This window comes from Homo sapiens, chromosome 6, assembly GCF_000001405.40.
Source record: "Homo sapiens chromosome 6, GRCh38.p14 Primary Assembly".
NCBI classification, from domain to species: Eukaryota; Metazoa; Chordata; class Mammalia; order Primates; family Hominidae; genus Homo; species Homo sapiens.
In genome coordinates this window covers 96,760,446-96,773,357 of record NC_000006.12, presented here as the reverse complement: position 1 = coordinate 96,773,357, position 12,912 = coordinate 96,760,446, and the positions used below count along the sequence as shown (strand labels likewise).

Sequence of the window (12,912 nt, the reverse complement as noted above, 5' to 3'; positions counted from 1 at the left end):
TGAGCAGTGGTTTGTAGTTCTCCTTGAAAAGGTCCTTCACTTCCTTTGTTAGCTGTATCCCTAAGTATTTTATTCTCTTTGTCTGTTGTTGATGTATAGGAATGCTTGTGACTTTTGCACATTGATTTTGTATCCTGAGACTTTGCTGAATTTGCTTATCAGCTTAAGAAACTTTTGGGCTGAGACAGTGGGGTCCTCTAGGTATAGGATTATGTCATCTACAAACAAAGGCAATTTGATTTCCACTCTTCCTATTTTTTTTCTAGTTCATGAATTGTTTTATATATATATATATTTCTATTATACTTTAAGTTCTAGGGTACATGTGCACAAAGTGCAGTTTTGTTACATATGTATACATGTGCCATGTTGGTGTGCTGCACAGATTAACTCATCATTTACATTAGGTATATCTCCTAATGCTATCCCTCCCCTCTCCCCCCACCACACAACAGGCCCCGGTGTGTGATGTTCCCCTTCCTGTGTCCAAGTGTTCTCATTGTTCAATTCCTACCTGTGAGTGAGAACATGCAGTGTTTGGTTTTTTTGTCCTTGCGATAGTTTGCTGAGAATGATGGTTTCCAGCTTCATCCATGTCCCTACAAAGGACATGAACTCATCATTTTTTATGGCTGCGTAGGATTCCATGGTGTATATGTGCCATATTTTCTTAATCCAGTCTATCATTGTTGGACATTTGGGTTGATTCCAAGTCTTTGCTATTGTGAATAGTGCCGCAATAAACATACGTGTGCATGTGTCTTTATAGCAGCATGATTTATAATCCTTTGGGTATATACCCAGTAATGGGATGGCTGGGTCAAATGGTATTTCTAGTTCTAGATCCCTGAGGAATCGCCACACTACTTCCACAATGGTTGAACTAGTTTACAGTCCCACAACAGTGTAAAAGTGTTCCTATTTCTCCACATCCTCTCCAGCACCTGTTTTTTCCTGACTTTTTAATGATCACCATTCTAACTGGTGTGAGATGGTATCTCATTGTAGTTTTGATTTGCATTTCTCTGATGGCCAGTGATGATGAGCATTTTTTCATGTGTCTGTTGGCTGCATACTCTCTTTCTGTTTGAATACCCTTTATTTCTTTCTCTTGCCTGATTGCCCTGGCTAGAACTTCCATTGTTATGTTGAATAGTAGTGTTGAGAGAGGACATCCTTGTCTTGTACTGTTTTCAAGGGGAATGCTTCCAGATTTTGCCCCTTCAGTATGATATTGGCTGTGGGTTTGTAATAAATGGCTCTTATTATTTTGAAGTATGTTCCTTTAATACCTAGTTTGTTGATAGTTTTTATCATGAAGGGTTGTTGAATTTTATCTAAGGCCTTTTCTGTCTATTGAGATAATCATGTGGTTTTTGTCTTTAGTTTTGTTTATCTAATGAATCACATTTATTATTTGTGTATATTGAACCAATCTTGCATCCCAGGGATGAAACCAACTTGATCATAATGGATAAGCTTTTTGATGTGCTGCTGGATTTGCCAGTATTTTATTGAGAATTTTCACATCAATGTTCATCAGGGATATTGGCCTGAAATTTTCTTTTTGTGTTATATCTCTGCCAGGTTTTGATATTAGGATGATGCTGGCCTCATAAAATGAGTTAGGGAGAAGTCCCTCCTTTTTAATTGTTTGGAATAGTTTCAAATGGTACCACCTCCTCTTTTACTTCTGGTGGAATTCAGCTGTAAGTCTGTCTGGTCCTAAGCTTTTTTGATTAGTAGGCTATTTATTATTGCCTCAATATCAGAACTCATTTTTGGTCTATTCAGGGATTCAACTTTTTCCTGGTTCAGTCTTGGGAGGGTGTATGTGTCTAGGAATTTATCCATTTCTTCTAGATTTTCTAGTTTATTTGCATAGAGGTGTTTATAGTATGCTCTGATGGTTGTTTCTATTTATTGTGGGGTCAGTGTTGATATCCCCTTTATCATTTTTTACTGTGTCTATTAGGTTATTCTTTCTTTTCTTCTTTATTATTCTAGCTAGTGCTCCATGTATTTTATTATTTTTTTCAAAAAAACAGCTCCTGGATTTGTTAATTTTTTGAAGTTTTTTTTTTTTTTGGTCTCTATCTCCTTCAGTTCCACTCTGATCTTGGTTATTTCTTTCCTTCTGCTAGCTTTGGCGTTTGTTTGCTGTTGATTCTCTGGTTCTTTTTTTTTTTTTTTTTTTTTTTTAATGCAGAGTCTTGCCCTGTTACCCAGGCTGGAGTGCAGTGGTGTGACTGCAGCTCACTGCAGCCTTCGCCTCCCAGGTTCAGCAACTCTCCTGCCTCAGCTGACTGAGTAGCTGGGATTACAGGTGCATACTACCATGCCTGGCTAATTTTTGTATTTTTAATAGAGACGGGGTTTCACCATGTTGGCCAGGCTGGTCTTGAACTCCTGACCTCAGGTGATCTGCCCACCTGGGCCTCCCAAAGTGCTGGGATTACAGGCATGAACCGCCACATCCAGCCAGTTCTCCTGTTGTCTTAGTTGTAATGTTAGGATGTTGATTTGAGATCTTTCTAGCTTTTTGATGTGGGCACTTAGTACTATAAATTTCCCTCTTAACACTGCTTTTGCTGCATCCCAGAGATGCTGGTATGTTGTCTTTTTGTTCTCATTGGTTTCAAAGAACTTCTTGATTTCTGCCTTAATTTCATTATTTACCCAGGAGTCATTGAGGTGCAGGTTGTTCAATTTCCATGTAGTTGTGTGGTTTTGAGTGAGTTTCTTAATCTTGAGTTCTTAATCTTGAGTTTGATGCGCTGTCATCTGAGAGACTGTTTGTTATGATTTCAGTAATTTTATATTTGCTGAGGAGTGTTTCACTTCCAATTATGTGATCAATTTTAGAGTCAGTGCCATGTGGTGCCAAGAAGAATGTATATTCTGTTGTTTTTGGATGGAGAGTTCTGTAGACATTTATCAGGATCACTTGATCCAGAGCTGAGTTCAAGTCCTGAATATCTTTGTTAATTTTTTGTTTAGATGATCTAATATTGACAGTGGAGTGTTAAAGCCTCCCACTATTACTGTGTGGGAGTCTAAGTCTCTTTGTAGGTCTCTGAAAACTTGTTTTATGAAACTGGGTGATCCTGTATTGGGTGCATGTATATTTAGGATAGTTAGCTCCTCTTGTTGAATTGAACCCTTTACCATTATGTAATACCCTTCTACCCTTCTCATCTTCATGGATTTATCTACCTTCGATCTTTGAGGCTGCTGACTTTTGGATGGTGCTTAACATTAAGTGTTCCACTGAGGACTGAATTTTGCTTACATTATGGACCCTGAAACTCTTATAAATGGCTATATGGCCCTCACTAAGTTGTATAGAAGGAAGCTCAGATTTGAATCTGTGACCCCACACATGGAATTTGTGTGCTTACTACTCCAGATTCTTACTACTACTCTACCCTTCTTTTCCTTGTATTTCTTTATTTTCTCTTGTTGAATTGTGTATATTGTAAAATTTTTTTGTCAGAAACAAATTTTGATTTAAAGTTTGTTGATTTAAAGTTTGTTTTGTCAGAAACTAGGATTGCAACTTCTGTTTTTTTCTGCTTTCCATTTGCTTCGTAAATTTTCGTCCATTCATTTATTTTGAGCCTATGCTTGTCTTTGCACATGAGATGGGTCTCTTGAATGTAGCACACTGATGGGTCTTGTGTTTTTATACAGCTTGCCATTCTGTGTCTTTTAATTGGGGCATTTATCCCATTTACATTTAAGGTTAATATTGTTATGTGTGAATTTGATCCTGTCATAATGCTGGCTGGCTATTTTGCAGACTTGTTAATGTAGCTGCTTCATAGTGTCATTGTTCTGTGTACTTCAGTGTATTTTTGTAGTGGCTGGTAATGTTTTTTCTTTATCATATTTAGTGCTTCTTTCAGGAGCTTTTGTAAAGCAGGCCTGATGGTGATGAATTCCCTCAGCATTTGCCTGTCTGAAAAGGATTTTATTTTTCCTTTGCTTATGAAGCTTAATTTTGCCAAATATGAAATTCCAGGTTGGAAATTATTTTCTTTAAGAATGTCAAATATTGGCAGCCCCCAATCTCTTCTGGTTTGTAGGGTTTCTACTGAGTGGCCCGGTGTTAGCCTCATGGGCCTCCCTTTGTAGGTGACTTGGCCTTTCTCTGTGGCTCCCCTTAACATTTTTTCCTTCATTTTGACCTTGGAGAATCTGAAGGTTGTGTGTCTTGGGGTTGATCTTCTTATGGAGTATCTTGCTGGGGTTCTCTGGATTTCTTCAATTTGAATGTTGGCCTGTCTTGCTAGGTTGAGGAACTTCTCCTGGATGATATCATGAAGTACGTTTTCCAATTTGTTTCCATTCTCCTCATCTTTTTCAGGTACCCCAATCAGTCATAGGTTTGATCTTTTTACATAATCCCATAGTTCTCGGAGGTTATGTTCATTCCTCTTCATTCTTTTTTCTCTAATTTTGTCTGCCTGTCTTGTTTCAGCAAGATAGTCTTCAAGCTCTGAGATCCTTTGCTCCACTTGGTCTATTCAGCTATTGACACAATGGTTGCATTGTGAAGTTCTCGTGTTGGGGCTCCTTTCCAGGATATCAGAGTTCTTTCCATAAACCTGTGGCTGGAGTTGCTGCAATTCCTGCAGGGAGGACCCTCCTGGTGAGGAGGGATGGATCCGGGTCCCACCTAGTGAAGCAGTCTGACCATGATCTGCCATAGCCACTGTGCTGCACTGTGGGGAATTCCTCTCAGTCCAAACTGCCCAGTCTTCCTGATACCAGCAGAGAAAAATGGCTGATTGGAGCCACAGTGATGGCGGCCACCCCTCTGCCTGGGAACTCAGTAGCCTTAGACAGTGTCCAGCCTGCTGCTGCTGGCTGCAGCCCAAGCAGGTTGCACAGCTCTGTGCTTGAGACCCAAGGCCCTGGTGGGGTGGGCTAACGAGGGGATTTCCTGGTCCGTAGGATGCACAGATCCGTGAAAAAACATTGTTTCCTGGGTGGGGTAGCACAGTCACTCACCACCTCCCTTGGCTGGGTGTGGGAGTTCTCCTTATCCCATGTGGCTCCTGGGTCATCACTCCACCCTGCTTTTCCTTGCTCTGTGTGGGTCTCACCAACTGCCTAGTCAGTCCCAGTGAGATAATCTGCATACCTCAGTTGATGGAGCAGGATTCATTTGCCATTTTTGCTCTTCTCTGGTGAAGTTTTATGGGTCAGTGCAGAGTAAGAAGAATTCAGTGAAATTTGGGTGCAGATGCAATAAACTTTATTTTATTAACCCATTTAATTTGAGTCATAATTTGGATTTAGTAGAGTTTCAATCGTAATATTTTTGGAATATTTAAAGGATTTAAAAATGAAGATAAAATACTTAGTTTGAATATGTATTTACACTCTTATTAAAATTAATTTAGGTGACCATACAATATACACAATTCAACAAGAGAAAATAAAGAAATACAAGGAAAAGAAGGGTAGAGTAGTAGTAAGAATCTGGAGTAGTGAGCACACAAATTCCATGTGTGGGGTCACAGATTCAAATCTGAGCTTCCTTCTATACAACTTAGTGAGGGCCATATAGCCATTTATAAGAGTTTCAGGGTCCATAATGTAAGCAAAATTCAGTCCTCAGTGGAACACTTAATGTTAAACCCCATCCAAAAGTCAGCAGCCTCAAAGATCGAAGGTAGATAAATCCATGAAGATGAGAAAAAAGTCAATGCAAACTGGGGAAGTTTATTTCCCTTTTAGTAGTCTCAAATTGTTATCTGTAATGTAAATGAAATAAATAATCTCTTTATAGAGTTGGCGTGAGGATAAAAATACAACCAATGTAAAGTGTGAAATATTAATATTATTACTTTTCTCATTTTTTATCTTTATGGTGAGAGGGCAGTATGGCATAATTAATTTTATATCATCTTCAGTGTTAGATCTGTGGTCAGATTTGTATGTTTTTGGACAGTTTACTTAATATTCCTATAGCTTGGTGTCTTCTGAATAATGGAAATAATTGTGCTACCTTCTAGGGTTGTGTAATGCTTAGAAAGGACAATGTAGTCATATTTTCTGAATGGAAATAAAAAACTTGAAAACTCCAATAGGCAAAGCCAGAAGTCAGTTGATAGACAAGGAAAAAATATTTGCCACTGACATCACAGACAAATATGTAACTTTCCTACTATATAAAAAGCTCCTAATACTGTGAAGAAAAAGACCAGCCACTGCACAGAAAAATGGTTGAAAGGCAGGAGTGGATAGATACAGAAAAAGAAATGGAAATGTCCATAAGCATGTGAAAAGATGCTCAGCCCCACTCATAGTAGGAGAAATAAAAATGAGATAACATTTCTCATGGCCACATTGGTGGAAACTGAAAGGTTTGACAACACACTGTGCCAGTGAATCATATATTGCTGCTGGTGGCAAATGGAGCATACCACTCCTGTGGAGGAATGTCTGGTAATAATCACCAAAAATTATAGCTGCACTTTACTCCTTGCTCCAGAAATCTCACTTCTGGGAATCTATTTTACAGATCTATCTACTCAATTACAAAATAGTGTATGTATAAACTCATTATGGCATCATCTCCAATAGAAAAAAACAGGAAACATTACCAGTGCCCACCAATAGTGACCTGATTCACCACACAGTGGAGGGCTATGCAGTTATGAAAAGAATGAGGACATTCATAAAATGCTGGTGTGAGATCTCCAGGCTGTATTACTGTTAACGGAGAAAGCAAGGAACAGCATTGTGTATATATTAAACTAAGAAAGATGAAAAAGTAAAAACAAAAATCTGTAATTATTTATATTTGTATAAAGACACATTGGAATGATAATCAAGAAACAAATAAAAATGGCTACCGTAATGGGTGTGGGGACAAGGTGGACAGGAATGGGGTGGAACTAAGATTTCTCAAGGTATACTTTTAAAAAATGTTGCTTTGATTTTCAAACCTTGTAAAAATATTAGCTAGTCAGAAATCATTACACGTGAACTTTATTTGTAAAGTAGTTAGCCCTTTACTATGTAAACTTAAGTGTCTTTCTCCAGGGCCCAAGAAAATGCCTTGGGGAAATTTGGCTTAACATAAATATTCTATAAAATAACAAAGCACCACAAATCTTCTGTTCCTAGATTTTACTTAATTTATAATTAGTCTGAGCTTGGAATCATTAAATTATGATTTGTATAAATTAAACTTAAAAAATTTAATCTCTTCTCTTTAAATATACAAGTAGGCTGGGGTGCAGTGGCTCACGCCTGTAATCCCAACATTTTTGGAGGCCGAGGTGGGAGGACTGCTTGAGGCCAGGACTTTGAGGCTAGCCTGGGCAACATAGCAAGGCCCCATTTCTATGAAACAAAATTTAAAAAGTAGCTGGGCCTGGTGGTACGCACCTGTAGTCCTGGCTACTCGGGAGGCTGAAGCGGGATAATTGCTTGGGCCCAGGAGTTTGAGATTGCAGTGGGCTGAGACCATACCACTGCACTTCCCCCTGGGTGACAGAGTGAGAACCTGTCTCAAGAAAAAAAGAAAAGATAAAGTAAAAATAAATAAATAAAAGTAAAGTTTTTGTCCCTCTCTGTGTATGTGTTACCACGTTACTTGCTCTTTCTCTGGTATTTAAAGTTAAAAGGGATTAAATATTTGCTTAATTATGAGTTAAAGCTCCTAACTCCTTAAGATTAGTTTGAACATTTTTTCAAACCAAATTGTTTCTAAACTACGTGATATCTGGAGAAAATCATAATAAGTCTGGACATTAAGAGTTTCTAATCGTGAATCTGCCACTGAGGTGCTGTGATCCCCTTGCTGGCCTGTATTCAACTGGTATCCAACAAATGTTTATTGAGCGTGTATATGTTCCAGGCCATGTTATAGAGCAATAAACAAAACCAACAAAACCCCTGTCCTCAATTTCTTATAGTCTGGAGGAAGACACTTCTTGCTGCCAGATGATCCACAATGAAAGAGGCAGAAGCCTGGAATGTGAAGCTCCAGACACTGCCTGAGACCAGTGTCCGTGACTGAGCACACCTATGTCACCATTGAAGACCTAAACAGTTTCTTACTACAAAGCATAGGTCACTGTGCCCAAGCTGTTCCCCAAAGGTGAGAGGGTGAGATATGGATGTGGAGATGAGGCGCTGTACTCTTTGGGTAGCCACTTTGTTCCTAGTCCTTCACAAGCACTGAGTTTCACTACGTTGGCCTCCCTAGAGTGGCCACAGAACTCCTTCCTCCACTTACACTCACTGTCTTCTCTTACTCCTTTTCCTCTAATTTTCTGTCCCTCGTTCTCCATTTTTCCAGAATTTATATTTCTCTACAGATATAATTTAATCCTAGGTCTTTCTAATGTTGCAGATATTCAAGTGTATCCTGAATATGAATATTTTTTTTTTCCTCTAGGGTCCTGTGGATTTACAGAGAGGAGGATCAAATGTAAATCTAGTGGAGAGAATTGTGGAAAGGGTGTGTGTGTGTGTGTGTGTGTAACAGTGGTAGTAGTAGCAGTAGTAGTAATAGCCATCCCCTCGGGTATAGCTGGGATCCTCTTAAAGTATTGGAATAAAATATTACATCTAACATTTTTGGTTATTTTTGAGTCGAGACTTTGAGTTGCTTGAGAGATTTATGTGGCTGCTCCTATTAACAAAAATTTGACATTATTTTTTGAAAAGGAGCAACCTTTGATATTCTTATACTTGGACTTTCCTTGCCTCGAATAATACTACAGTTGATGTTAATTGATTTAAAGGACATCCACTCTAGTTCCTTTAGTAGTTCCTGTTTTTTTCTTGGGTGGAGAGTAGAGGGTAGAGGAATAATAGGGTGGTAGTCAGTGTGTGGGGATGCTAAGTCTCAATTTTGGTTGGCCACAATATCAAAATGGAGAGTTAGGTTGGAAATTAAGTTTGGCATTTTCTTTCTTACCTTCCTAAATTATACAAGAGAATTTTCAGCATTCCTCACAAAAGCAAACAGAGTCAAAACCAAACTGACAATATACAATAACAAGCAAGCAATTTAATATTGGGAATTGCTAATTTCCTGTGGAGGGTGTAGATCCGTGTAAACTTTTTGAACTCTGTCTGGGCAGTTGTTCTTTGCAGTCACAAGTTTAGCATGCTCCTGGAATATCCTTTTTAGAGGCAGCAGGGTTGTTCAATAAAGATTAGTGGTGATGTGGGAGAGGATCAGGAAGAAGGTTAGCTTGAATAAGCAACAGAGAGATACAGAAGGAAATTATTATTATTTTTTGAGACTTTAAAGCCTACCCACGAAAACTCCTTTCTCTTTTCAGATAGTTTATGGTTCTGACAGATACTGTTTTGTACTTAAGGTGGGAGTCTGAAGTTGATACAGTCACATTCACTGTTGTTGAAGCGCTCTGTAATTCCAGTGAAACATCCTTGACAATAAGCATTTTGAGGCTTTCTCTCTTCAAAGAGTATTCCTAACCTAACAAGTGTGGCCATCACCACTTTAAAGACCCTGGAATAAATAGAAATCAAATGTTAATTATCCAGAACACTTGTTTAATATAATAAATTCATTTAATACTATTTGTTTATTACAAAAGTACCATGGTTAACAGATTTGTGCTCCTACTGTTGCCAAATGTCACTTAGTTACTGTTGAAATGAAGCTCATAAAGTGTGCTTTTCTTATTTACTAAAGCATAAGAGAAAGGATTTGCTTTCTTAATAGGAGAAAGTATTTTTGAAAGATATAATGCCCCAATGATTTTGTTTTTAAGTGGACACTTCTATTTATTTAAAATATTTCATAAGAGAAGTTGAATACCTTATTGTATATATAGAGTAACTTTTTTTCAGTAAGTGTAATTTAATTTTCATAGTCTTAAGTTTAAAATGAACAAATGAGTGATCTAAACATAGTGGCGCTTTTGTATCTTTTTTAAAAACATCATTGTAAAAATGTGTATTTATGTATTCCAGATGGCTTTTTTTCTTTATAGAGACTGGATCTTCTTATGTTGTCCAGGCTGGCCTCGAATTCCTTGGCTTAAGTGATCCTCCCACCTCAGCCTCCTCCTGTACTCAGCTGCGAGTATGGGAGCCACATGGCTTTTAAATAATAGCTGTGGCCTTGGCCAGGAGAAGGGCTTCATTGCTAGCTTTCAAGGTCAGTACAGGTAGAGCTAGGCACTACCTTCAGTGCTACCTCACCTCCTAAATAGAAAGCATACTGGGTTTTTATTCTATGATTCATTTGTTTGGGAGGAAACGAGATGACCATATTCTTGAAGAGGCCAAAAAGAGGATGTAAATGATGGCAGCAGTGGGCCGTCTGGAGTGGCTGTTGTCATCACGCTGGCTGCAGTGGGAAGGCATAGCTGAGGCTGCCTGCAAACTCCATGGAGTGGGTGGGAGCCTCACTTTCCCAGGCACAGGACCCAGGCGTCTCTGCAGTCTGCACCCTTGGGGTCCCAGGAAGACCCCCCTTGACCCTGAAGGCTTGGCGTGTCTGGTCCCACTGCTTGGCCTCTCCCTGCTCCCGGTGCCCACTCTGATCTTAGAGCAGACTAGGGGCCGAGCCTGGGCACCGTTAAAGCCTGGCTGGGTGTGTGCACACTCAGGGCAGTGCTGACATACCAGTCCCCTGCTGCCTCAGTCTTCTCTGGACTTTGCATGCTGACGAGCACAGGGTATGGGGGAAGCTGAGGGAGGACTGAGGGTAGCTGGATGCAAAGGAGGGCCTGAAGGCTGGGGGCTGGGCTGCCAGTCCTGTGGACCAGAGTGGTGCCTTTTCTGGGCCCACCCGTGGTTGCCCATGGATCAATCAGCATGCACTTCTCCCCCTCTGAGGCCCATAAAAGCCCTGGCCTCACCCAGAGCAGGGCAGACAACCAGATGACAAGCTGCAGAGAGGAGCTACCCTTTCTCCTGGGAGCTGAACACTTGTTAGGACGACCTGCCTGCAAAGAGGAGCTACCCTTTCTGCTAGAAGCTTCGTCTTGCTCACCCTTCACTTGCCTGTGTACCTCATTCTTCCTGCGTGCAGGACAAGAACTTGGGAACTGCCAAATGGTGAGGCTAAAAGAGCTATCACACAAACAGTGCTGCAACATGCCCCTTGCTCACCACGTTGTGGGCGAAAAGAAGGAGAGAAGAGCTGCAGCCCTTTGGGGAGCCCAGACCTGGGAGCTCCTGGAGCCAGGGCTGTGACTCCCTCTTTGGGGCCCTGCAGTTCCTGGCATCTCCAAGCTTTCAGGTGCCACCGCATTCCCCAGTGCCAGCTGGGGAAGCTGCTTGTGGTGCACCTGGTCCAGCCACAGCCTTTCAGAGAGCCGGCACCCATGCCGGGACCTGGAGCTGACTGCCCTGCGGCAGCAGCCGGCATATCTGACGGCGCAGCGGCCAGACCTCACACTCCCTCATCCACCCCTTGCCGCTCCATGCCTGACTCAAAGACTTCCTTGGAGGCATGGGATCCAGGCTGGTAGCATGAGCCGAGTGCAGCCTGCTAGGCCGAGTGGGCAGAACGAGCCCAGCAGGCATGAGCAAAACTTGGGCAAAGGCACCACGAGCCACAGGATTCTGGCCAGAAAAGCGACACTCCAAAGATCCTGTAACATAAACACTAATGTGGATGATTTGGTTATTGATTTACCTAGGGACAGAGAATGGGCCACAAATGTAAACATTTCTAGTGAAAATGCATTATTAAGAAGTGTGCTGTACATTTATATATTCTGCAGATACGGTGTAGTTTGAGGAAGTCAAAGGAGACTCCCTTTTAGAGTGTGGGCTTTTCACCTTATCACATGAAATTTTGTATGCAATGGTATATGGGTGAGAAAATCTATAAGCCTTTGGGTCTGGGGCAGATTGAAAATAAGCCAAAGGATTAGTTGGGGAGGGTGGAAATGAAATTTCTGAAGGAGGCATGCTTACTACCCTGCTCTCTGCAGGAATCGTAGAATTTCATTTGCAGCCATCTTCTCTCTCCACTAGAAGTACTCAGGACTCATGAGAAGAGAGATTATAGTAGAGAAGGGATCATGTTTCTAGTAGTGGGAAAATTCCAGGAGAGGAACTTTCTAGACCCTTCTTAAAAATGGTCTGGTGAGGGGGCAGGTTTTGACTATGAATGGGTATGAGGTAGCTGTTTCAGTGGATGAGCAGGGAATGTATTTACCCAGGTATGGACATTTGTCAAAACTCATTGTATAGTGCATTAATATTTGTGATTTTACTACGTAAAAATTTTGCCTAAAATAACTATAAATAATTATTAAGCTCTAGTTAATGATGTGCATGCTGCAGGTTTAGGGGTAAAGTGTACTGATCTCTGCAAATTTAATTTGAAATGCATTAAAAAATAATGACAGGCTGATGGAGGATAGATATATGATAAAGAGAGTTGGACAAAATGTTAATTGTAGAAGCCAGATGGTAAGTATGTGGGTGTCCATTGGAAAATTCTTTCAACTTTTCTGTATGTTTGAACATTTTAATAATAAAATACTGATGATGGTAGGGAGAAGGAACTAGAGAACAGAAACACTGATGTTTAGCTCTGAAGTTCAACAGCCTTAATCTTGGTGGAATACAGAACTACATAGAAAAAGAGTGACTCCCTGCTGCTCCTCTCTCTTGCCTAAAATAGGTTCCTTGAGCTAAGGACAGTGGATAGTTGGAGCAAAAAGCAAGACAGGTTGGCGCAGGTGAGTGCGCATTGGAAGGAGACCTGGGACCTCTTCACCTCTACCCACCCAGGCTGACTCTCCAGACAGCAGTAACATGGAAAGGAAGCCATTTTAGGTTGATGTAGCACTCTCTGCAAGTTTAGTAAGCTCCACCCTGACATTAAAAAGCACCTGAAAGTTGCCTAGCCTCCTGCCACATCCTGGGAAATGATGAAGGATGAAA

General features: G+C 40.6%; 1 annotated feature.

The window, feature by feature from the left end:
* Positions 10,540-11,114: an enhancer, noted in NCBI's record as "H3K27ac-H3K4me1 hESC enhancer chr6:97210120-97210694 (GRCh37/hg19 assembly coordinates)". NCBI's record gives its function as "activates a minimal SCP1, AML or CMV promoter by ChIP-STARR-seq in naive H9 embryonic stem cells {active_cell/tissue: H9 hESC(naive)}" and the evidence as "EXISTENCE:reporter gene assay evidence [ECO:0000049][PMID:30033119]".